Below are 26,766 nucleotides of genomic sequence, written 5' to 3' on the forward strand. Positions count from 1 at the left end.
ATGGGGGCTAGGGAGCTAGCAGAATATTTCTGTCAAGTGAGTGTCATGACAAGTGTGCATTTAGGAAGCTCCCTCTGGAAGTGATAGGACTCACTGGTTGGAGAAACCAAGCCTGGAAGCCAAGAGATTAGGGAGAGCTGGTTACAGAAATCAAACTGGGAGATGGGGAAAGACTTGGCTTGGGTGACTTGATGCTGCTGCTAATTGAATTGATGATTGGTACTGATTTAGATGAAAGTCCTGAGCTTGAATCATGTTGACTTGGAGGACCCTGTGGGCAATACAAGTCTCAATATTCAACAGGCAGTTGAATATGTGGGCCTGAAGAGATAGATCTGGGAGCCGAGGGTATTTCAATGGTAATTGAGTTCATAAGAGTGGATGGGATTGTTCGGAGAGGGTCAAGATCAAGGCAACCCTGGGTAGCTTGACCCTTCAGGGGAGCAGGGAAGCAAATTCTGCTAAAGAGGTTCTGCAGACACCTAGCAGTCCATATTTCTTACAGATTCAAATTCTCAGAGGAACTGGTTTCTCTCCTCAAGAGAAACCTCCCCTCTCCTCAAATCCTGTCTGTCTGTCTTGAACCCAGGCTATTATGATTAGGCCCTAGTATGACATAATGGCTTCAGGGCCAAGAGAGGATATCCAAGGGGCCCTGCTCTTCACTGTTACCTTGTCATTGCTACACTTTGCCACACCCTGTACCAGTTTCCATCTCTACAACAGGGAGAACTGGATTTTGTCAGCTGCTTCCTCCCAAAAGTTGTTACTACAGACACAAGAAGGATGGAGTCAGCAGAGTGACAGCTGAGGAAGTGATGCAGGTTGTCCTCATTTCTGGGGACTTATCCAAACCCTTCTGCACCTTTGGGTACCTGCACCCGCAGCCACTACTTGGTTGCGGTGAGTGCTAGACTAGCCTGATGAGAGAGGAAGCAAGGAGATTTTAATGCATAGGGTTTAGTGAACACATCCAGGCACTCTGTTCCTTCCTTCTACTGTTCAACCTGTAGAATAACAGGCACACAGGTGAAATTGTCTTACCTTCATAGGGGTTCACGAGGGTTGGAGCTGACAAACCAGTTTAAATGATAATCAATTGAGCTAATAATGCCCATGTCTTTCCAAAGGGAGAACTAGTACCAATCGGGAGTAGTAGAGGGAGTTACAGGGGAATAGAAAGTCCCTCTTGATGCTAAGCATCTTTAGAAGTGATGCCTGGAACAGAATAGGCTCTTGGGCCTGGATTATTGGGTGACAACTCAATGCTTCCACACTCTCCTCTCTGCACAAAGGGCTAGAAGCCTGAGAACTACATTTCCAGGAATCTATGAAACATAGGTTCCAGGTTAGAATCTTTCCATGAGAAGCAGATGCATGAGATTCAGAAGTCAGAAAAGAAGACGAAGCCATATGGGAGGTGGCTCCTGCCAGCCCTGGAGTTACTCACCTTCAGCTGTGGTGAGTAGAGTGGTGGGCTTTGGCAGATGGCAGATTTTAAAACAACCTCAAAATTTTCCTGAAGCAACAGTGTTGGGGGCATCTGTGATCCTTGCAGGAGCTGCTGCAGATCCTGCAACTTTTTTACTTTCTGAAAATTTATAGAGAACCTTTATTATATAAATATCCAATGACCTTCCTTTTTCCAGCTATTCCAAAATTTCTGTTAAGTGCTGTATAACATTTGCTGTATACCAAATCACCCAAAACCTAGTTGCTTAAAGCAACAATTATATATTTAGTTCACAATGCTGTGGATCAGAATTTGTGCTAGGCACAGCTGAGTGGTTCTTCTGGTCTTGGTTGGACTCACTAATGCATTTTACAAGAACAGGCCGAATTCAAATTTATATCACATGGATACAGGGAAGAGAATCATCAGGGCCAATTTTACAGTCTACCACAGCATCTATTTCTTGTATTAAATAACCTTCCTGCTTCAAAGACCCAGAGAGTTTTTATTTCCCTGAGCAAACCTTGAAGATGTAACATCACTCTGTATTTCTGGTCTTGGTTGGGCTCACTAATGCACAAAGGCTCACTAAAGAGGCAGGTATTGAGACTTGGATTAAGTAGTGGGCTGAGGGTTAAGGATTTGGGTTTAAGTCCTGGACTGTGCCACTTCTTGCAAGTCAACCTTGGGCCAGTTTCTTCAGAGTCTTGAACCCTTCTCTCTCAAATGGACATGGTTAAACTTATGTGCAGCCATCAAGTAAAACAATGGTTGTAAAGTAAGTTTGAATAGATTAATGATCATATCCTACATTTGAATAACACCACGCTGTGAAACCTTCCCACCTGGGGACTGCTGGATCAGGGGCCAGAGGGCAGGGGCTGCTCTGGTGGGATAGAAGTCAGAAAGATGTTGGTCACTTGCTTTTCTCCCCTCTTGGATTCCTTGGTGTATTTTGGGGCTTAGAAGTAAAGAATGAATGGCCAGCCAAATCTTCCATTTGCAGCCTCTGTGTTGGAATTAAGCCAGAGTTTGGAAAAGCCCTAGAACTGCTGGAGCCAGGACAAACTCCAGGGCTGGCAGGAGCCACCTCCCATCCACTGCTCCCATCTGCCCTCTTGGCTGCTGGTGCAGTGAGGCCCTGCTTGTCCTGGCCCATCCTCTCCCCAGGCCTCATGTGCTCAGCTGCTTGAAAGACCACTCCTCAGCTCCTTATTAGTCCCAACTCAAGCTGGACATGATTCACAGGGATAATGAGCTCGTAAATAAATTCCTGCTGCATCAGCTCATGGAGCTGAAGGTTAGGCTAGGGATGTGGGCCAGGGCAGGCAGAGGGAACCAGGCCCAGAGATTCAAATGTCCCCTGTGTTTTCTCCAGGGGATATATAAGGAGGGTGATGAAAACTTAAGAGATCCTGTGAATCCATCACTGGAATGTTGCACAGTGGCCTGGTTATGCTCTCAGTGCAGAGATCCTGGATCCATAATCCCATACTCTACTCTGCTTTCAGAATCCAGTTCTGCTAGAGATAGATTTTTTGGAGGCCAATGGCCAGTGGCTGTGTGTTCAGCAGAGCAGAACCAGGGCAGCAAGCTCTGTGAAGAGCTGAGCTGGCTGCTGAGGAATAGGGGATGTGTTCACATTTGTTGGGGTTTACCAGTAGAGAGAGGTCACAGGGAAATAATAAAAAAAAAAGTTCAGCACAATCCCAAAATAAAATGAGAGGTCCTAGAAAGACATGCACTTCCTATTAGTGGAAATGTGCAAGAAGAGGCAGGAAACTCCTTATAAGCATCAATGTGGGAGAGTGTGAGACAGTAGCTGAGGGTTGATGAAATGCCTTTTGAGGCCCCTTTAAGCTCCCTGTGTCTACAAGCTGTGTGGAAGGCAATCTGCCTTGGTGTTTGGCTATGCCTGCTTCTGCTTAAAACCTACCAGTGGCTTTTCATCACACTTAGAATAAAATCACGAAGGCTGGGCGTGGTGGCTCATGCCTGTAATCCCAGCACTTTGGGAGGCCGAGGCAGGCAGATCACAAGGTCAGGAGTTCAAGACCAGCCTGGCCAACATAGTGAAACCCTGTCTCTACTAAAAATACAAAAAATTAGCCGGGCGTGGTGGCGGCCACCTGTAATTCCAGCTACTCAGGAGGCTGAGGCAGGAGAATTACTTGAACCCTGGAGGTGCAGGTTGCAGTGAGCGGAGATTGCACCACTACACTCCAGCCTGGGCGACAGTGCAATACTCTGTCTCAAAAAAAATAAAAAAAAAATAAAATCAAGAAAAATTTTCCCAAGTCAGTAGTCACTTCTGTATTATTTCAGACTATTCTCCCCATTGTTCACTGTGCTCAATGCCACCTACCTTTTTCTCACCCTTAAACTTGGCCTCTAGTTGGGATAGACTGGGCTGTGCTGCAGTAACATAACAAACCCTGGAATCTCAGTGGATCAGCTCCTTATGTGTTTGATTCTTCTTTATGGACTATTCATATGGGCTGGCAGGTCTGTTCTCTGCCTAGTGACTCAGGAATCCAGGTTCCCTCCATTTTATGATGCTGCTGCCCCAAAGCGTGGCATCCAATGTGGCCCTGGTGGGAAATTTATTTGGCCCAGCATTGACACTTGTCGCTTATGCTCACAGTCTGTTGGCTAGAACTAGTCACACAGCCCAAGCACAAATGTAGGGGAGGCTGGGCATTGGAGGGGAGCACATGGATATTGGGTGGGCACTCATGGTCTGGGCATGTATCTGTCAGGGTTCCAAATTGCAAGCAATGGAGAGTGACTTCAGGTGTTTCAAGCAGAAAATAAATTTACTAAAACAATATTATGGAGTTTACTGAATCTCCTAAAAAGCCAGAAAACTAAGATTAAAGGTGATGTAGCTAGAAATAGCATCCCCAATCATGCTGTAGAGCAGCTCTGAGATGTTGCTCCTGGGCGCAGACACCATGGCCATCCCTGCCAACAGTGCTGGCACTGAACATGAAGTCTGCCACATAGCCATAGCCATAGCTGCCCCAGAGACTGGATATGGTTACTGCATTAAGGACACCCTTGTCAGCCTGCAGCCTGTACAGCCCCAGCTCCTTTGTGTCACTCACTTCTGACTCAAGGTCTAGGATCAGCATGTCTGATTGAGGAGCCTAAATGAGCCATGTGCTAGCTGCAAGGCAGGCTGACTGTATTAGTCTGTTCTCAGACTGCTAATAAAGACATACCCAAGACTGGGTAATTATAAAAGAAAAAGAGGTTCCTTTTCTTTTTAGAAGAACACTGGACTCATAGTCTCACGTGGCTGGGGAGGCCTCACAATCATGGAAGGCAAAGAAAGAGCAAAGATACATCTTAGATGGCAGCTGGCAAGAGAGCTTGTGCAGGGGAGCTCCCATTTATAAAACCATCAGATCCCATGAGACTTATTAACTATCACGAGAACAGCATGGGAAAGACCTGCCCCCATGATTCAATTACCTCCCCACGGGTCCCTCCCATGATACAAGGGGATTATGGGAGCTACAATTCAAGATGAGATTTGGGTGGGGACACAGCCAAACCATATCACTGACAAAACAAATATCTGGCATTTTACCTCCTATGGAAGGCCCTGGTTTTCAAGGGGAGCCTCAACTGAGAGTGATGAATATTCACTGCATTATCTCAGGGCCTTTGCACTTGCTGCCTCCTCTGTCTACAGGTATTTCCCCAGATGTTCTCAAAGCTGGCTCTTTCTCTGCTCAAACGCCAGCTCTGACAAGCAAATCTAATGCAGTCCCCGTGAGGCAATCACATCCACCTGACTTGTTTTCTTCGCAGCACCTGTCCCTACCTTGTCCATTCATTTGTTTACTGATTTAATTTCTGTCTACCTGTAAGAGGTAACAAGCACAGGCCATCGTAGGAGACAGGTTCAAACCCCAGCCCTGCCATTTACTAGCTGTGTGACCTTGGACAGCTTACTTATTTGCCTTTGCGGCGCCTGCAGTTTCCACATCCAGCGGTGGTGTGTGCACGTGTCTCGGGGAGCAGGTTCGGGCTGACTCAACATCTGCCCTGTGCTGGCCACTGTGCTAGGCCTCTGCTTCTGTAATCTCATTAATCCCCAGCACATCATTGTGAAATGCCCCTTATTTGTGTCCTGGTTTCCCTCAGGCTGTGAGAGGTAATGTACAGGCTCAAGTCCACACCACGGGAAGCAGTGCAAAGCCTGTGTACTTCCTGCAGTCATCACACAGCAACCCCCTTCAGACTCCAGGCCTCTGTGTTTGGGGGTGTAAGGGACTGTTTCTCTAGTTGGTGAGATTATAAAATAACCTCCACGGAGTATTCCTGTTGTAGTGGGCTGAGAATCCCTTCCTAACCTCTAACCTTTGTCTCTGGCTGTAATTTTATCCCAGAGAGAAGGGGTGTGGCACATGGGCCTAGGGCCGAGTGTGAGCCCAGGTGATAGAAGAAGGCAGTTACACCCCAAAGGCTCACTCTACCCTTGGAGCAGTCAGATCTGGGGCAGGCATTTAAGAATTCAGGCACAAAGGAGAGGCCAAGGGCCCACAACAGGGAGGCAGACATCCCTGGCTTCCAGGAACACATGGAGCGAGACACAGTCCCTCCTCCTGTATCCTTGTTCCTTGGCTGAGCACATGGAAGAGGGGGTGTCTCCAGGCCCAAAGAGGAAGCCTGAAGGTTGTGTGGAGGTGGCCACCTGGGAGTCAGGTGGAGGGCTCTTTTCTTTGACTATGTAGATCTTATGTACTTTCCTTGATGACAGGCTGGATTTGACCTTCTGGTCATAGTTGGGGGACTTTTACTCTAGATCATCTCTAAGGACTATTCCAGCTTTGACCTCCCACCTGGGTACGGAAAGAGACTGAGGCTCTGACAGGTGAAGTAGGTTTGCCCCGGTTTGCAAATGTGGCTGGAAGGGAGGTGGGGACAGGCTTTATTCATTTCTGATCTCTTAGGGATCTCTGAGAGCCTGGCACAGAGCAGGTGCTCAGAGAGCCTTTGGTGAATGAATGAATGAATGGGTCCTGAACTTGGGTAACAAGAATATGGCAGGGATTATGTATTTTTGTTGATGGGTGTTGTGAACCTGTAAGGACAGGAAGGAAGGAGTGCTGAGGCTGACAGTGAGAGAAGATAGAGGGAGTTTCCGGCACTCTGGGGCCGTTCACTGCAGTATCACAGCAAACAGCAATCATGTGCCCTGGACGGGCATTCCTTTGTTACCGAGAGGCACAGGAAAGAATGGTAACACAGTGGCTGGTCATCAGAAAGAGATGCAAGGATGCTGAGCGTATAAAGCTGCAGGATGCATTGCATTATGCATGCCTGAGTCCTGTAGCTTGCTTTGTAAAGCACAGTGCTTATTTTAATAAGTGACAATCTTTAATGCAGTGGGGGGAAAATCACAGCTTTGTAGATGTCTCATTGTTCTCAGAAGTGATGCTTAGCTTCAAGAAACACCAAGTTGGATGGGCAGCTAGGCAGGGACTTTGATGTCCTTCTGGTTTGCTTTCTGGGGCAGGAAAAGGATGAGTTCTCCTAGTGTCTTGTACACATCAGATGCTCAGTCAAAGTCTGATAAATAAATGGTTCTCTCCCTACATCTGATATAGTGCTGTCTTACAGTAGAAAACCTAAGGAACATGTGACTACATTCACCCATTCATCTCCTAGTTGCTTGCTGACATTTGAAATTTATTTGCAGACTCACGTGTAGTGGTGATAGATAAGGCTTCATGTGTGGGCTTGGGCCCTGATGAGAACTCCCACCATGGCTCATATGGTGTGCACGTGACTCCACTGTGCTGGGGTGCTTTCAGAGATGAGCTAGGACAAAAGAATGGGGATGGTGGCTGGGTGGGGAGTGGGGAGTTAGGAGTGGGGGAGTGTAGTGTTATGTCCTGAGAATTAACCTGGGGGATGGAGAACAACTCTCTCTGTTTCACAGTGTCTCAGAAAAGAGACCTCAGGGATATTCAATTTCTCCTTTTCCTACAAATTGCTAGCAGCAGAATCAACCTGAAGTTCTAACTACCCTGGTCATATATTTGGCTGGCCATGGCTGATGCAGCAGAAAGTGTAGAGCAGGAGTACTTGGCTGAGGTGTAGCCACACATGTCCTCTCATGGCGGGTGTTGGTGGACCCTTGAGTACAGATGTGGCCCTCTACCAATCTAGGGGTATAAAGGCAGCTGGCGTCTAAGCCCCTTTGACCTGGTGATCTCCTTACTTCATGCAAGCTGCCTGGCCCACTGGACTTTGCTCATACCTCCTGAGAACAAGGTCGTCGCTAGGGGACTGTGTCTACCCCCTTGCAGGCTCATCTTGTGTCCATCCCTGACACTGCTTGTTTTCTGAGCACTTCCTTGAGACATGGCTGAGGCATAGTGTTCACAAGCCTTCCAAGCAGACCCAGCCCTTGGGGATCTGGCCCAGTTCAAACCCATTCCTAGAAAACCCAGAATTGGATCTCTGTGGCCACAATATTGAAAGACTAGTTTTTCATGAAAAGGATGACCCTGATTGTTTTATTAAAGTATTGAAAGACATATGAACGTAAATGTCTTTTTAAGTTGATGTATAATAATCATACATATGAACTCATTTATGCCTGAGGTTGCAATTTTTTTAATTTTTGCAAACAGACCTTCGTGATGACCTTGAGCATTAGGACATAAATAACTCCCGCATGCTTAATGTTCCATTATTGGTATGCTAAACATAAATGGGCTAGCCCCATTTATGGGGTACATGTGATATTTTGATACATGGATACAATGTATAATGATCAAATCAGGGTATTTAGGATATCTATTGCCTCAAATATTTATCTTTATTTTGTTGGGAACATTTTAAATCTTCTCTTATAGCTATTTTGAGATATACGTTAAATAATTGCTAATTCTAGTCACCTTACTGAGTCATTGAACAGTAGAACTTACTTCCTCTAACTGTATGTTTGTATCCATTTTCCAACATCTCTTTATTCCCTCTTTACCCTTCCCAGCCTCTGGTAGCTATCATTCTAAGCTCCACTTCCATGAGATCAACTTTTTTAGCTCTCACATATGAATAAGAACATGTGATATTTTTCTTTCTGTGCCTGGCTTGTTTCACTAACATAATCACCTCCAGTTCCATCCATAATGCTGAAAATAATATGATTTCATTCATTTTTATGGCCAAATAGTATTCCATTGTGTATATATGCCACATTTTCTTTATCCATTTGTCCGTTGATGGACACTTATGTTTATTCCATATCTTGGCTCTTGTGAATAATGCTCCACTAAACATGGGGGTGCAAGTATCCCTTTGATGTACTGATTTCCTTTCCTTTGGACAAATGCTCAGTACTGGGATTGTGAAATTGTATGGTAGTTATAATTTTAGTTTTCTGAGGAAACTTACTGTTTTCCATAATGGCTGTATGAGTGTATTAGTTTATATTCCCACCAACAGTGTGTAAGAGTTCCCTTTTCTTTGCATCCTTGGTAGTATTTTTTTTATTATAGCCATTCTAATTAGGATGAGATGATATTTTATTGTGGTTTTGATTTGCATTTCCCTGATGATTAGTGATGTTGAACATTTTTTCATATACCTATTGGCCACTTGTATGTTTTCCTTTGAGAAATGTTTATTCATGTCCTTTGCCCACTTTTTAATGGGATTATTTGTTTTGATGTTGAGTTGTTTGAGATCCTTTTATATTCTGGATATTAGTCCCTTGTTGGATGAATAGTTGTAAATATTTTCTCCCATTCTATAAGTTATCTGTTCAATCTCTTGATTGTTTCCTTTGGTGTCCAGAAGCTTTTTAGCTTAGTGTAGTCCTATTTGTCTACTTTCGTTTTTGTTGCCTGTGCCTTTGAAGTCTTAGACATAAGGTCTTTGTTAGACCAATGTTCTGAAGTGTTTCCTCTTTGTTTTCTTCTAGTATCTTGTGGTTTTGAGTCTTATATTTAGGTCTTCAATTCATCTTGAGTTGATTTTTGTATATGGTGAGAGATATGGGTCTAATTTCATTCTTCTGCACATGGATATCCAGTTTTCCCAACACCATTCATTGAAGAGAGTGCCCTTTCCCCAGGGTATGTTCTTAGTGCCTTTGTTGAAAATCAGTTGGCTGTAAATACATGGATTTATTTCTGAATTCTCCATTCTGTTCCATTGCTCTATATATCTATTTTTATACCAATATCATTCTGGTTTGATTACCATAGCCTAATAATATATTTTGATGTCAGGAAGTATAATGCCTCCAGCTTTGTTCTTTTTGCTCGGTGTTGCTTTGGCTATTTGGGGTCTTTTGTGGTTCCATAGGAATTTTGGTGTTTTATGAAAACTTCTGTAAAGAATGTCATTGACATTTTGATAGGAATTGCATTGAGTCTGAAGATTGCTTTGAGTTGTGTGGCCATTTTAACAATATTAATTCTTCTGATCCATGAGCATGGGATATCTTTCCATTTGTTTGTTTTCTCTTCAATTTCTTTTATCAGTATTTTGTAGCTTTCATTGTAGAGGCTTTCACCTCCTGAGTTAAATTTATTCCTAGGGATTTTATCCTTTTTTGTAGTTATTGTAAGTGGGATTGTTTTCCTGATTTCTTTTTTTCAGCTAGTTTACTAGTGTGTAGAAAAAAACTAATTTTTTTTGACTTTTGAATGTTGATTTTGTATCCCACAACTTTACTAAATTTGTTTATCTAGTCTAAGAGTTTTTTTTGGTGGAGTATTTAGTATTTTTTAGATATAAGATCATATTATCCGCAAAGAGAGAAAATATGACTTTCTCTTTTCTAACTTGAATGCCTTTCACTTCTTTTTCTGGCCTGATTGCTTTGGTTAGGGCTTCCAGTACTGTATTGAATAAGAGTGGTAAAAGTGGGCATCTTTGTCTTGTTCCAGTTCTTAGAGGAAAAGCTTTCAGCTTTTCCCCATTTAGTATGTTAGGTTAGGGTTTGTCATGTGTGGCCTTTTTTATGTTGAGGTATGTTCCTTCTGTGCTTAGTTTGTTGAGTTATCATGAAGGGATGCTAAATTTTATCAAATTTTTTTGCACTTACTGACATATAATATGGTTTTTGCCTTCATTTTGTTAATGTAATGTATCACATTTATTGATTTGCATATGTGGATTTGCATCCCTGGGCTAAATCTCACTTGATCATAGTGTGTTATCTTTTTAATGTGTTGTAGGATTCAGTTTGTTAGCATTTTGTTCAGAATTTTTGCATCTATTTTTATCAGGGATATTGGTCTGTAGTTTTCTTTTTTTGTTGTGTTCTTGTCTGATTTTGATAGCAGGGTAATGCTGGCCTGATAGAATAAGTTAGAAAGAATTTACTCCTCTTCAATTTTTTGGAATAGCTTCAGAAGAATTTGTGTTAGTTTTTTAAAAGTTTGGTAGAATTCAGCAGTAAAGCTACTTCAGCTTTTCTTTGTTGGGAGACTTTTCATTACTAATTCAATCTTATTACTCATTATTGGTCTGCTCAGGTTTTCTATTTCTTCCTGATTCAATCTTGGTAGGTTGTATGTGTCCAAGGATTTAACCATTTCCTCTAGGTTCCCCAGTTTGTTAGCGTATAGTTGTTCCTGATAGTCTCTAATAATCCTTTGTATTTCTGTGGTATCATGTTGTAATATCTTATTTGTTGCTGATTTTATATATTTGGGTCATTTCTCTTTTTTCCTTGGTTAGTTGCACTGGTGGTTTATTGATTTTGCTTGCCATTTTATAAAACCAACTTTTTTTCATTGATTTTTTGTATTGTTTTATAGGTCTGTATTTCATTTAGCTGCTTTGATCTTTATTATCTCTTTCCTTCTGCTAATTTTGTGCTTTATTTGTTCTTGCTTTTCTAGTTCCTCAAGGTGCATCATTAGGTTGCTTATTTGAAGTCTTTCTACTTTTTTTGATGTAGGCATTTATTGTTATAAATGTCCCTCTTAGCACTGCTTTTGCTGTATCCCATAGGTTTTGGTATGATGTGTTTTTATTTTCATTTGTTTCAAAAAATTTTTAAATTTTCTTCTTAATTTTTTCATTGGTCCATTGGTTGTTCAGGAGCATGTTATTTAATTTCCAAGTATTTTTATAGTTTCTAAAGTTTCTTTTTGTTATCGATTTCTAGTTTTATTCCATTGTTGTCTGAGAAGATACCTGATGTAATTTTGATTTTTAAAAATTTGTTGAGACTTGTTTTGTGTTCTTACCTATGGTCTATCCTAGAGAATGTTCCATGTGCTGATGAGAAAAACGTGTATTCTGCCATTGTTGGATGAAATGTTCTGTAAATGTCTGTTGGGTTCATTTGGCCTAAAGTGCAGTTTAAATCCAATATTTCTTTGATGATTTTCAGTCTAGATGATCCCTATAAAACTGAGAGTGAGGTGTTCAAGTCCTCAACTATTATTATTTGTAGTAATACTGCTGTGGTGTTGGGTGTATATATATTTATAATTGTTACAGCTTCTTGCTGAATTGATCACTTTATCATCATATAATCATCTTTAAGTCAAAAATGATAAAAAGAGACAAAGATCATTAGTCTGTTTTATCTAACTACTCTTGCACACTTTTGATTTCCATTTGTGTGGAATATATTTTTTTCATCTCTTCACTTTCAGTTTGTGTGTATCTTTACAAGTGAAGTGAATTTCTTGTAGCAAATACATAGTTGGTTCATGTTTCTTTTTTCCCCTTTAGCCAGTCTGTATCTTTGAAGTAGGGAATTTAATCTATTTACATTTAAGGTTATTATTGACAGGTGAGGATGTATTCAAGTCATTTTGTTAATTGTTTTATCATTATTTTGTATATCCTTTGTTAGTTTCTTCCTCTCATTGTTTTTTTGCAGTTTGGTGGTTTTCTGTAGTGGTAATATTTGACTCATTTCTCTTTCTCTTTTTGTCACTTTTATATCTGGTCTACAAATGAGTTTTATACTTTTGTGTGTTTTTATGGTGGTAGGTACTGTTCTTTTCCTTCCAGATGTAGGGCTTCCTTGAGCATTTCTTATAGGCCTGGTCTAGTGGTGATAAATTCCCTCAGTTTTTCTTGTCTAGGAAAGATTTTATTTCTCCTTCATGTTTGAAGGATAGCTTTGCTTGTTAAAGTATTCTTGGCTGGCAGTTTTTTTTTTTCTTTCAGCTCTTTGAATATGTCATTTTATTCTCTCCCGTTCTGTAAGGTTTTGGCTAAGAAATCCACTGTTAGTTGAATTGGACTTCCTTATATGTGACTTGACTCTTTTGCTGTTTTTTAGAATTCTCTTTTTATCTTTGACTTTTGATGGTTTGGCTATAATATGCTTTGGAGAAGACTTTTTGAGTTTAATCTTTTTGGAGATTTTTGAGCTTCCTGTATCTGTCTATATTTCTTGTAAGACATGGGAAATTTTCAGCTATTATTTCATTAAATAGGTTTTCTATACTATTGCCCATATCTTCTCCAGTAAATCCTAAAATTTGACTATATGATCACTTTATGGTGTCCTATATATCATGTAGGTTTTTTCATTCTTTTTTCTTTTCTTGTTTTGTCTGACTGGGTTATTTCAACATTCTTTTGCTTAATCTAGCCTATTGTTTTAACTCTCAATTGTTTTTAAATTTTATTTATTGAATTTTTCATTTTCAGAATTTCTTTTTTTTTAAATTATGCTTATCTCTTTGTTGAACTTCTCATTCAGATCATAAATTGTTTTTCTGACTTATATGTATTGCTTCTCTGTGTTCTCTTATATCTCACCGAGTTTCTTAAATATAATTATTTTAAATTCTTTTTCAGGTGTTTTATAGATTTCCTTTTTGTTGGGAACTATTACTAGAGGCTTATTGTATTCCTTTGGAGGTGTCATTTTCCTTGCATTTTCATGTGTTTTTACATTGATATCTGCACATTTAATTTAATAATTACATCTTCCAATTTTATAGATTGGCTTTTGTAGGAAAAGACTTTTTTTCCATAGGTGTATCTATAGTGTTGGTTGGGTAGGGTGTTTTGGCTTTGATTCTGGATAGTTGCAGTAGTGTGGTCTTTGTATGATTTCTTCATCTGTAATCAGCATCAGTGGTGTTTGTGAGTTCCTCGGTGGCTTAGGCAGTGGTCATTAGTAGGGGCTGTGGCAAGACTTTACTAGGGACAGGGATGCTAGGCAGGCCAGTCCTTTGGTACCCAGTGGTGGTGGCAGCAGGCTGAGCATGCTGGTCCTCAGGCCCCTGATAGTGTATGTGGGTGTTGTTGGTCATGGGTCCAAGTGGGCCAGTCCTTAGGCCACCAGGCAGCTTGTTTGGATGCCAGAATTGGCAGCAGTGGGCCAAGTATGTGGGCATGTCTTTGAGCCCCTGGTTGGTGTGTGTAGTATTTATTTGTGGTGGCAGCAGTGGTGGAGGGCCAACTCTTGGGCCTCCAAGCAGCATGTGCAGGCATGAGCAGTGGTGGGCAGGTGGGTGCCAGTGGTGGTGGCAGAGGCAGACTAGATACACTAGTCCCTGGACTCCAGAGAGGCACACATGGGTGCTGGTGGCTGGCAGGATGGGCCTATCCCCAGGCCTCCAGTCAGTGCATTCAGGTAGTTGAGGTGGTCAGGACGGACCTGTCTTCAGGTCCCTGGAAGGTGTGTATGTGGGCACTGGGAATGGTGTACAAGGTGGGTCAATCCCCAGACGCCCAGATGGTTTGTTTATATGTTAGCAGTGGTGGCAGTGGGTGGGTCAAGCTTGTTGTCAGCTACTAGAGAGTGTGTGCTGGAGCAGACAGGATGGATCAATCCCCAGGATCCAAGACAACCCATGTGGATGCTGATGGCAGTAGCAGGCAGGGTGAGTCAATTCAGCAGGTGGGGCAGGCCTGTCCTTAGGACCCTGGAAGGTGTGCAAGAGTGCCAGTGGTGGCAGGTGAGGTGGACTGATTCCTAGGACCTTAGGTAGCGTACACAGATACTGGCAGTGGTGGCAGTGAGTGCCATGGGGTTGTCCTCAGTCCCTAAATGGCATATGCAAATGCCAGTGATGGCAGTGGCGGGTGAGGACAGCCTGTCCTCAGGCCCTAGGGTGGCACCCAGATGTCCCAATCCCTAGACCCCCTGAAGACACATGCAGCTAGCTGCCCAGTAGTTTTGCCACTGGAGTGGTCGGGGGTGCTGTCAGGGATATCAGCCCCAGGCAGTTGGCTCTTAGGAGCATGTGCTTCAGCTCCCTTTGTCTCAGGGGAAGCCTCCCTGGGGTGCTGCACCACTCATTCCCTGGGGTGTAGCACACTGTGTGGGCTGGAATGCTGGAGACCTGGCAGGAGTGGCCAGGTCCTGGCATCACAACGCTGCAGGTCTCTGGGTGGATGTGTGAAGGATGTCAGTGGGGCTCCAGGGATATGGAGATGCAGGGGATGTTGGGCCCCAGGACAGGATGCAGTCTAGTGGGTGCTAGGATCTCAACATGGCGCTGTGCTGCAGCTGATTGCATCTCGGGGGTGTGTGGCACCCAGCATGAGCTGTCTTTCTGGAACAAAACCTTCACACAGATTCCACACAGCTCCCTCTACTCGTCTCAGGGCCCACGAAGGCCAAGGGGCTCTCCCGTGGCTAGGATTGCAGGAGTCCATGATGTGGGCTACTGGGATCTCTCCTTACCTTTTCCTTGCAGTGGGGAGTTTATCCAGGCTCTGAGCTGATCCTGGCCAGGCCAGCTGCTTCACTTCCTTCTTCTTCCATGCCTCTGCGGCTCCCTGCTGCCTCCCTGCTGAATCCCACCATTCTCTCTTAGACACGTGAGTCCACCTGTAGTTATCTCCTCCGGTGCCAGGCACCTCTATTCAGACATTCTGAAGCCCTCTTGGTAAATGACTTGCTGAAGTATATGTTGGGCTTAATCCCAGCTCTGCCCCTAATTAGTTGTGTGGCCTTGGACAAGTCACCCCTCTTTCCCTAACCCCGTCCTTGATATCACAGCAGTTTACCACTGGAAGCATAGCTTCCATAGAGTCCACAGACCTGAATGTGAAATCTGCCTCTTCCATCTCTGAGATGCAGTGCTCTGAGCAGGATTTTTGGTTATTTTTGTGTGCATTTGATTTGTGTGTTTGTACTTTTTTTTTCTTTTTTTTTTTTTTGAGACAGAGTCTCATTCTGTCACCCAGGCTGGAGTGCAGTGGCGTGATCTTGGCTCACTGTAACCTCCACCTCCTGGGTTCAAGGGTATCTTGTTCCTCAGCCTCCTGAGCAGCTGGGACTACAGGTGCACACCACTACACCCAGCTAAGTTTTGTATTTTCGGTAGAGATGGGGTTTTGCCATGTTGGCCAGGCTGGTCTCAAGCTCCTGGCCTCCAGTGATCTGCCTGCCTTGGCCTCCTAAAGTGCTGAGATCACAGGCATGAGCCACTGCACCTGGCCATGTGTATAAGTTTTAAGTTCTCTACTCCTCTTGGTTTTCGTTAAGTATAAAATGGCAGTGGTAAGTGCCCACTTAGAGTCTGTCAGGACCACACAAGTATATTGTAGCAATAATAGCAAACATTTATTGTCTACTCTGTTGTCCTGGCTGTATTTTGCAGGTGCTGCTCCTCTCAATCTTTAAATCAGGCTGGTAATAGCATCTCTCATTTTTTAGATCAAAACCTAAAAAGGTGGGAATGAAAGAAGCTCCTAACCCTCCTGGCTTTTTTCCCAAAGCCAGGAGGCAGCTCCTGAATGGTGGATTTTGGACTACTGGTGAGGCTGTCAGCAAAGGGCCTGGCCCAGAGAGATGCTCAAGAGTAGGATGAAAAGACCGTGGGCTTCTTCCTCTGCAAAAGGAAAGGTTTGGGACTGATGGATGCTGAAAAGTCTAGATCTTCATAATCCTCAACAGCTTCACTGCCACTGCACACACAAAATGAGTGTGCCCTATATTTCCAGCCCTCTGATGAATACGAAAAGAGCCTGAAGAACTCATCTTCCTGGTCGCAAAGTACTTTAAAATATATAATCCCTCAATCTTAAACATACACATTTTATTGCTTTTTATTATACAATAATACATATTTACTATTGAAAATACAGATAAGAAAAAAGAAAATGGTTCATAATAATACTACCCAGGTTTAAAAAATACTATTCAGCCTTATGTTGAAGAATCTGACTCTTTTCCTATGCAAGCATGTATTTCAAGCAAAACTGGACACTTCATGTGTACCTTGTTTTGTGATCTTTTTTTCCCAAATTAATATATAATCAATATCTTTTTGTATCAATCTTCAATCCTTTCTTCTGTCACTTATTTTTAATGGTTAACAGTCATCTACTATATAGATATTCTGTAATTTATTAAAGTGATCCCTCATTCTTGAATACTGAAGTTGTTGATAAGAAAGTTCCAATCTTGTTGAGAAGACCAAGCCTGTGAGGAATAGTTCCATGAAATTACAATTGGAACTTGCTATGTGCTGAGTGGCAGAAATGCAATAGAGTTCTGAATGGAAGGAGTGGTTTTGGAATGAAGGATGGTGGGGAGGCTTTAAAGAGTACGTAGGGTTGGAGCCAAGCTTTGAGAGAGGGGCTGGATTTCCACAGGTTAAGAGATTGTATTCGAAATAGGAGAACCAGCAGCAGCAAAGGTGCAGAGCCCAGGGGTTGGGTAGGTGTTTAGGCCCTGGGGAGGGCTCACATAGGGGACCAGCTCCAGAGAGGGTTAGAAAAGGAGGACAACAGATTCTAGAGTGGACAGTAAGTGCAAGTCTGGCAAGAGTAAATTTTACCCTTTTGGGCAATAAGGAGCCACAGAGAGTTTTTGAGCGGGGTTGTGGCATGAGTAGATCTCGGTTTATGAAGTCACTGTACAAGCAGTTAGGGAGAGAAGAGAATAGCAGGAGATGGTATCCAAGGCAGGGAGACCTGTTAGAAGGTGGGGAACAAGTCCAGAGGAGGTGATGAGACCTGGATTCAGGGAGTGGCAGGAGGTGAGGGAAATGGGTTGGATGTCATGGCTGGAGAGGGCCCAAAGGAGGAGCCCCTGGGGCTCACGAAGAGGGGAGACTGCTGCCTGATACCTGGGGTCCTGGGAAGAGTTAATGGGCTGCCTGTGGACGAGCTAATTGGTCCTCCAGTGGGGCTGACTCATTCCAGCATCCAAGCCAGTCATTACTAATGCTGGGGAGGGAGAGAGAGAGAGAGAAAATAAAACAAAAGCCGAGCAGTGGGAATTCTGTCTGATTGAAAAGTTCCAGGGCTGGCCTCCCATTTCAGACAGGCAGGATTGGGAAGAGGGCCCTGCTGTGTGGGGGTGAATGGCAGGGGTGCGGCTGGCGGAAGTGACATTTCCATGATGCCTGCTTGAAACTCATCCATAACTGCCTTGTGGGGGTGCAGCTGGGGAGGGCTGGGTCTTTCCCTAAACAGCCCAGGTTTTCTAGTGACACCCAAGGCACACTCAGGGCAAGAGAGTGCGACTGAAGATGTCCACACCAGGGAGGAGAGGAGGACCAGCAAAGGCCAGGGGTGCAAGGTCTGGTTCTATTTACTTAAAAACTGGCTGAAATCTCGGTCCCTTTGTTTGCCATTTCCTTGGGTTTTTAGATTTTTAACATGCCATGGTCAATTTCATTTGCTAAGCGAGAAATCACTGGGAGCAGCCTTCCCAGCACAGTAGAGTAGGGCTGTTTGGGTACAGGATGTGTCCTGGACAGTGCCCAGAGGCGCTGGCAGAGGCGTAAATGGGTGTTGCCGGGTCCTCCTATCCTCTCTGCCTCCTCCTTGGTATGGGCTTCTGCTGCCTTTTTCTGCAGCAGTGGTGGAGCAAACACTGTCCAGGGCTTACAGGGCCCTGGTTCCTACCCGAACTCGCTGGGGCACTTTGGCCCAGATGATTCCCCAGTGAGGGTCTCAGGTGTCTTATCAGGGTTCCTCTGTTACTTGAAGGCAGACGGCTGAACCTGATAATGTTTGTGGCATTTTCCAGCTCAATGTCCCTATATAGTCATTTTTCTCCCATGCCACATGTTCAGGGAATGACATCTCTCATTTCTATCTGGTCATCAGGGATCAAGTGAAGGCCTTACCTTCAAGGCTGTGGGACTCAGCCCCAGCTAGACCCTGTGGGTCTAATTTGGATTGTAAAGAGTTTGTCCTCGTAAAAGGGTGCTTTCGTGTCCTCTGGCTTTCCATTTGGGATTTTAGTGGTCGGTAGGCACACATGGGGCCTTATGTTGTGTGGCAGCCAAATGAGCTGCATCTTTGGGTTGTAGGGCTTGGTGTGGGAGGGGTGCCACTAACACATGCTGTGCCTTGAGTTCTGCATGGGTCACATCATGATGTTATCCCCATGCCTCCCATGCATGGGTCACAGGCACCTCCCACTCATCTGCTGCCTAGGGCCAGTCCTATTGCTAACTTCATGTTTTGGGTCCAGGGCCTCCCCTCCAGAAATCCCACATATTGTCAAGGGGAAGCCAGCCTAAAATAAGGGCCAGGCCAACCTGAGGTGTGGTGGCTCAGGCCAAAGGGCTCCCCCTTATCTGGAGTGCATGGAACCCCTCCCTGTGAGGCTTATTTGGTGGCTCAGGCCAAAGGGCCTCCTCCATCTTGAATGCCTGGAATGCCTCCCTGTGAGGTCTCAGATCTGGATGCGGAACCTGAGGTGGGACATGGATGAAATGGAGCAGAGAAGGAGAAGGGGTGAAGCCTGGACCCTGATGGAAGGGGAGGAAAAGAACAAACTGGGGCTGCCATGACGGGGAAGGAAAGGCCCGTGTGGAGGAGCATGGAGCCATCTGCTCATGAAGGAAAGGCAGGGATGGGGCAGAGGTGTTGGGGCTTCCGTGCGACTCCAGAGGCCAAGCCCAGAGCTGTGTGTGGAGCCCATGAGGAGCAGAGATTTTCCAGCAAAGGTGCATTTGTGGGCCTCCAGATGGAGGCCCTACCTTCTCAGCAAGGGAAGAAACCCCTCTCTCTTTGACCTCTCTCCCCTGCACAATTAGAAGGTTCTGAAGAGTGACTTCATTATTGGTGGGTGAGTATATGTTTATTGGGCATCTGTGGTGTGCCAGATGTTGTGTTGAGTGCTGGGTGCAGAGGTAAATGGGATATCTGGTTACCGCCCACATGGGGCTTATAGTGGGGGAAGTGGGGGAGTAAGTCAGGACACACGTAAGCAAACGCTAGAATGGATAGATATTGTGATTAGAGCATTGGAGAGAAAGAACAGGATGTTTCAAGAAAGGACAGCATGAAGGACTGCTGTGTGGGATCAGGAAGGTCTCCGTGTGTGTGGTGGGGGGTGATGGTTAAGCTGAGGCCCAAAGGATGACGGGAGTTACCCAGGTGAAGGGTTGTGGAGACGAGAGCACAAGCGAGGGCCAGGAGGCAGCTGGGCTCAGGGCACTTAGGGCCCTGAGGAAGGCTGGAGTGGGTGGCAGGGGGCAAAGGGGGTGCTGAGGTGAGCCTAACAAGGGCTGTGGGCCAGGAAACAGGACTTTGTTTTGAGTGCGGTGGGAAGGCATGTGGCAGGCAGCCACCTTGAGGCTGGGTTTCCTTCTCTCAAGTGCCAGAGCTCAGTGGCTGCTTTCTGGGAAGCTGGTGACCAGGACGACTGGTGCATGGCAAAGGGCATCAGGAGACTCTTCTTTCCTCCTCCAGGAGTTGAGTTTCTCAGTCTCAAGCAGGCAGCATGGGAGGTCCCCAGACCTGCCCTGGAAAACTCCCCCAGACCTGAGCAGTAGGCAGCAGCTTGGGGGTGCTGGGTTCATGTCCACCCTGAACCTGTGAATGTGACCTTATTTGGAAATAGGGTCTTTGCAGATGTAATCAAGTTAAGATGAGGCCACAGTGGATCAGGGTGGGTCCTAATCTAATAACTGGTGTTCTTATAAGAAAAGGGAAATTTGGACACAGACACACAGATGGAGAGGCCATGTGAAGATGGATGCAGAGGTCAGAATGATGCTGCCACAAGCCAAGGAATGCCAAGGATGGCCAGCACCCACCAGAAGCCAGGAGAGGCCCAAGCAGAGCCTTCCCTGGTGGCTGCAGTGAGAGCACGGCCCTGCTGATACCTTAGCTTCAGACTTCGGACCTCCAGAATTGTGGCAGAATAAATCTCTGTTGTTTTAAATCACCCCATTTGTGGTGTTTTGTCACAGCAGCCCCAGGAAACAAATACACTGGGCCCAGGAAGGGGAACCTGGTGTATTAAGCCTGTCCCACATGCTGGCCCACCAGCATTCCTTATCTTGTTTACATGACAACTCAGAGAAGTTCCAACCATGCTCTTCATTTTACAGAAGAAGAGCTGGATGGTCAGAGAGGTGCAGCAATATATCAAAAGCCCACAGAGACACAATAACAAAGCTGGGGTTTGAGCCCAGGTCTGAATTGGCCCCTGATCTTTCTGTACCGCCTATCTGCAGAGCCTTGATGGAGAGTGATCCAAGAGGGTCAGACAATGATGAGGAATCAAGGCTCTGCAGCACTCATGTATTTACTGGTGGAATCCCATGCCCGGCATTTGTTTTGAGATGCCCTAAAAGAAAAAAGAGTAGGAATGGGGATAGATGAAAGAACAGCAGAGTGTTGGTAATCATAGAAGCTGGGTAATGGGCCCATGGGAGTTCATTGAATTATTCTCTTTATGTTTGCTCATCTCTGAAAATCTCCACAGCAAAAACTTAAAAAGTAAGGCCAGAGAGATGCAAGCTTAAACAAGGAAAAAGATTAAAAACTATGAGGGCTCTGAAATCAGAGAGCATAGGATTGGGATCTCAGCTTCGCCCTTCATTAGATGTGAGATGTTGGACAAGCCACTTGGCCACACTGAGCCTTGGTTTCCTCTGCTCCATGGCCTCTCACTAGGCAAAACCTCATGGGATGGTGGAGGAATCAAATGGTGGAATTCAAGTGCTCAGCCCAGTGCCATGCACATGGGAGGCATTCTAGAAATATTTGCATTATTATGGTTACTGAGTGTGCACCTTACAGCAGCTCAAGGGTCAAGACTCCCTTCTTTTTTTGTGAAATAGGGATGAGAATGAGGCTTAGAAGTGGAGGAACTCGTCTAAGATCCCAAAGCTAATAAGTGACAGAGACAGGCCTGACCCAGAAATCTCTCCCTGAGCTAACTGCTTCCATTACCCACAGAGCTACTCAGAGACCTGCTCTCATGCAGTGTTTAGGGCCTTTCCCACAAGGAGGCCAGCTTTCTTCCCCTTGGTTTAGGGATCAGGCCAAGGAGGGGAAGGAAGATGAAGCCGCCCCTGGCTGACCCTGGCGAGCTCTGGTCACTCTGTGTTTGCTCAGCTGCAGGGTGCAGGTGGCAGGAGCGGATGCTGAGCACCAGCTGACATGCTTTCAAAGGTGACAGGCCTGTGGTAATTGATGGTCAATGAGGGCCATGGCTCCATGCACACTGTTGGTTTAAGGATGACATTGATCTGACACACTGGCCACAGCAGAAACAGCAAAACAAAGGAAGGCCAAACTGGAAACAGGCCTGGCCTCCCTTGGCCCTGGCTGCCTTGGCTCTGAGCATTCCCAGAATGCTGTGCCCTGAGGTCTGGCCAGGATCCTGGTGCCCTGGAGCTCTGGGGTCAGCCAGGATGGAGGAAGTGCCCAAGGCCCCCACCCATCTGGGTGCAGGTCAGGGAAGGAGTGAGAAGGAGCAAAGCGGGAGCAACCTCAGAGGTTCCCAGAGCTGTGCCCACACACTGTTTCCAGCCTTCCCCTGCCCAAGTTTCCATGCCCTGGGAGTAAGGTGGAGGAGGGAGGGGCCTCCAGACCATGTCCCACACAGCACGGTGCATGCAGTGGATGTGTCTGCTGAGGAGAGAAGATGCAGGGGCCCTGGGAGGTAGGCAGGGATGGGCTGGGGGATAAGAGAGGCAAGGCCTGGTGGCAGAGGCCTGGGTGTGAATTCAGGGCTCTGGCAGGAAACAGAATTCACTCCAGATGCTTCCAGTGAAGAGACAAGGTCATTCTGTGGGCAGCATCAGGGAAATTCTCAAGAGATGAGGATGCTCTCAGTGGCTAGCAACAGTAGCACGTCATGACCCTCCCTAAGGCTGAAGGATCAGTGGGGGTGGGAGGGACAGTGCTAGCCAAACCCCAGGAGAACCAGACTCACAAAAGAGGGTGCCAGCAGCCACTGCCTGGGAGGCGGCCTGAGCAGGAAGGAAGAGGGGAGGAAATGCACAAGCCCTCTCCTTGCTCCTTTCCAGATCCTTGCCAGCTGCTGGAGGGAGCCACTGATGTAGTCAGTAGGGGCCACCTCCCAGGCTGGAGCAGGGCAGGGAAGGGCAAGGAATGGAGAGGCAGCCTGGGTAGAATAGAGAATACCAGCACACCTCTTTTCTTTCCCTACAATGACGACTGTCATACACACTGCACAAACCCAAGGGGAGGATTATTGATAAGGCGTGTGACAGTCCCAGCACAAGGCCCCTCATGTGCTAGCCTTGACAGACGGTAGCTTCAAACTCTCCATCTCTCTTTTTTTCAAATGTGCACACACACACTCCACATTTCCTCAAATCTCTGAATGGCTGTCATAAGGAAGAAGGAGCGAACATGTTCTGGGAGGGCCAAGGGGGAGCCCGAGGACAAATTGTGTAGCTGTCAGAATTCTGTGGCTCCTGGAATAGGCATGCCCCAGGGGCACTGCCTCCTGCCATGGGAAGCATGGTGCTCTTAACATGTGCCTGCTGTGTGTGAGTGCAGCTCATGTCACATGCTCCCCATCCTCCAATCCACACCAGCTCTCAGGGCAGCTGATGGTCATGCCTTCGCTTTGCAGGTGAGGATGCTGGCCTCAGAGGGACGGGTGCTTGCCCAAGGTTGTCCTGGAGCCAGGCTATATCAATCAGGATAGGCCAGGTTTTGCTGCTGTAACAACCCCCAGAGCTCGGTGGGTCAAGACAATATGGGCTTGGCTCCTGCTCATGTTACCTGTCCATCAGGGGTCAGCTGGGGGCTCTGCATTTCACCATCCTTCCTCTGGGACCTAGGCTGTCAAAACTGTAGCCATCTGAGATATTGTTCTCACGCTGGAGATTTTATTTGGTCTGGAGGTCACGCACGTCACTTCTGCTTACAATTCGTTGGTCAGACTGGTCACATGCCCCTATCCAAGCAAAGGGGCCAGGATGGTCAGTCCTACTACGTGTCCAGAAGGTGGAGAGCTGGAACTATTAGAAGAACAGCATTAGTGGCTGCTACATGAGCCATGGCTTCCTTTCAGGCCTAGGGAACTCCAGGTGCAGAGCTCTTCCTGCTGCTCCAAGGTTGACGTCACCCTGGCAGAGGCTGGTGGAGTGCCATGGCACAGTGGGAAAGGCTAGAGCAGGGGCTGTCTCAGATTCTTGTGGGCTCATTCTGTGGCCACCTAAGTAGGATGCTGAGGAAGTCAGCAGATCTCAAGAAAGATGGCCCTGGGCCGTCAGAGCAAGATCAGGAGAGGCAGCATGTAGTGCAGAGAGGAGAGGGCTTGGTACCTCCCAGGACCCTGAGCTTCCTGTCTCCACTCTCCTGGGCCACACATGGAGAGCCCTTCGCTGCTTATGGAGGCGGGATCCCTTTCGGAGGCTGTCTTTCCAGCTGCAAGTGCTCTGGGCAGGCTGGAAACGGTGTTCTGAAGAGCCGCATGAGGCCATTTCATCAGAGTGCTACTCAGGCTGCTAGAAAACTGGCCACAGAGCCATTCTTCTTCCACAACCCCTGACTGCAACTAGATGGAATTTATGTACTTGTCATCCCCATTCGGTGGCCAGGCTGGGGAAGGAGAGGAGTGTGATTCTACACAGTGGACTCCACAGAGAGAGGAGGTGAGTGGAGTCAGTCTTTCTGGAAGCCCTGCCCTGTGCTTGGCCCTAGAAGGGCACCACGCTGCTGGTTGCTGCCACATGCATTAGCTCCTGTCGCTCTCCCCTCCCTGGCCACCCTGCTTCACACACTTTCACTCTTCTTGAGGAAGCTGTGTTCCCTGCCTTGTGGACTCCATTTCTGCATCTCCCAAGCCACCAATGACTCCTCTTACACGATCTTGCAGAAGCACTCAACACGGCTGGCCATTTTTGATTTCATTCTGTTTTATTCTTCTGTGCCGTCACACTCTCTTGCTACCCATCTGTGGAATATTCTTTCTCTCTCCATCTGGCCCCTGGGTGCCTGTGGTCTGCAGACCTCCATGCACAGTTCATATTTTCTCTTTTTGGCCGTCTAATCCCTACCATGAGCTTCTGCAGCCCATCATTGATGAATCCCAAACCCAGACCTCTTTCTGGAATTCAAGGTATGTTCATCCATGTGCCTAGCTGACATGTCCACTTGGATATCCAACAAGCTCCTACAACTGAACATGGGCCTTTCCCCCAAATTGTCCTTGTGTCCAGTCATTCTTGTTTCAGTCAATGGCGTACTTATCCACCAACCGTGGAAGCCAGAAACTCGAGAGCCCTCCCAGCTTCCTTCCTCTGCCTGTCTCCAGAGTAGGTCCTGAAGCCTGACCTCCTCCATAGCCACCACCACCATCTCCAACCTGGAATAGGACAGCAGGCTCTTTGGTACCTTGTTCCCTTCAATCCATCTCCCTGCTGCCACAGGGATTTACAAAAATCTGGTCCAAAAAATTCCCTAATTCTTAAAACGTTCAAGGGTCCCTTTACCCCAGTTTTAAATCCAAACTCCTGAACAGGGCACCTTTATGATCCAGGCTCCTGTCCCTTCTGCAGCCTCTTCTCTCCCCTACCCTGCACCCCATGCCCAACTCTGTCCCTTTGCACACTCTCTGTTTGTCCTGCAATGCCTTTCTCTGCCTCCTCTCTGTTTGGATGGCTAATTCCTTCTCAACTTTTCCAACTCAGTTAACATATCATTTGTTTTAGGAAGCTTTTCTTAACGTCCCCAAAGCAAGTGTGCCTCCTCCACATTCTTGTAGACTCCTGTATGTAAACACCCTATGGGAAGGCAGAGGGGGTGCTGCCCCTCCTCTCCCGAGTGTTTTTGGAGGGCAAGCTTGAGTCCAGAGCCCAGCACAAGGCTTATCTGGCAGTCAATCAATTCTTGTGAATAAATAGGCAAGTTGGCCTGCCCCCAAAGTCCCTCAACAGTGGCCTCAAATCACAGAGGGACCTTGGAAATCATGTAGCCTAATGATTCATTCCGCAGACGAGAACTGTGAGGTTCTTCAAGGAGGTGAAAGTTCTCAGTGAAGGAGTGAATATTGAATCTAGATTGGTGAACTTCCAAACAAAGACCACTTTTATTTTTTAATATTGTACTATGTAATGGAGAGTTTATTTCTCTTGTTGACTTTATACAGAAGCACTGAAAGTTCATGTGAAATCATTCATCAAATACAGACAAGCAAAAAGAGAAAAGATAGAATTTGCTTAGTAATTGTACCACCAAACCAGAGATAACCATTGCTGATTGCTTGGCATGTTACCTTTCCATCTTTTCCCTGGGCAGATAAATATATGTCCATTTTTAAAAACAATACTATGATTGCACTACAAATCTGTTTCACCCATGCTTTAAACATATTTATAAATCCCTATTCATATTTGTCAAAGACTGTATAGTTTTAATGTTTTTAGTTGCGCTACAATATAATTCAGTAATCAGACATGATTTTTGGATCTTGAAGTTGGTTCTATTTTTTTTGTTATTATAAACAGAGCAATGAAGAACATCATTACAGTGAAAAATTTGGTCAATTCTTAATTACTACTTTAGCATACATTCTTAGAAGTTGAACTGAAGTAGAACTGGTGGGTTGAAGGATTTGCACTTTTGTGCATTTTGCCAAATTGCCCTCCTAAAAGGCTGACTAATCAGAGTTTATATTTACCAGTTTATTGTCTTGTCAACCTGAGAGGAAACTCTTTGCACCAGAGATTGAAGGACTTGTCTCTGGTAGCAAATTTCCCTCCAGTCATATGTCTCAGTATGGAGGTTGTAAACTGGAAGCCATGGGCCATCTTCTTTTGAATCCATGATGTTTTAAAATATTTGAATTAAAGCCAGGTGCAGTGGCTCACACCTGCAACTCCAGCTACTCAGGAGGCTGAGGCAGGAGGATAGCTTGAATCCTGGAGTTTGAGGCTTCAGTGAGCTATGATTGTACCACAGCATTCTAGCTTAGGTGACACAGTGAGACTCTGTTTTTAAAATACACACACACATACACACACACATATAAAATGCTGGACGTAGTGGCTCACCTGTAATCCCAGCACTTTGGAAGGCCGAGATGGGTGGCTCATGTGAGGTCAGGAGTTCAAGACCAGCCTGGTCAACATGGTGAAATCCCGTCTCTACTAAAGATACAAAAA

The 26,766-nt window shown here is 45.7% G+C and overlaps 1 long non-coding RNA gene across 2 annotated transcripts in view, besides 1 other annotated feature; it reads left to right on the top strand.

Moving 5' to 3' along the window:
* LOC124902468 (uncharacterized) overlaps positions 1-16,798 on the top strand; it is a 28,799-nt gene extending 12,001 nt beyond the window's left edge. The window contains exons 1-2 of one of the 2 annotated variants that reach the window (XR_007062211.1): positions 1,423-1,461; positions 16,080-16,798. This is a non-coding gene — a long non-coding RNA (uncharacterized LOC124902468). Of the gene's footprint in view, positions 1-1,422; positions 1,462-16,079 lie in introns of those variants that run through there. The other variant, XR_007062212.1, reaches the window with a different exon arrangement.
* Positions 14,253-14,754: an enhancer, noted in NCBI's record as "H3K4me1 hESC enhancer chr10:80088023-80088524 (GRCh37/hg19 assembly coordinates)". NCBI's record gives its function as "activates a minimal SCP1, AML or CMV promoter by ChIP-STARR-seq in primed H9 embryonic stem cells {active_cell/tissue: H9 hESC(primed)}" and the evidence as "EXISTENCE:reporter gene assay evidence [ECO:0000049][PMID:30033119]".
* Positions 16,799-26,766: the final 9,968 nt, after the last annotated feature.

Source organism: Homo sapiens, chromosome 10 (genome assembly GCF_000001405.40).
Source record: "Homo sapiens chromosome 10, GRCh38.p14 Primary Assembly".
In the NCBI taxonomy this organism is placed as follows: Eukaryota; Metazoa; Chordata; class Mammalia; order Primates; family Hominidae; genus Homo; species Homo sapiens.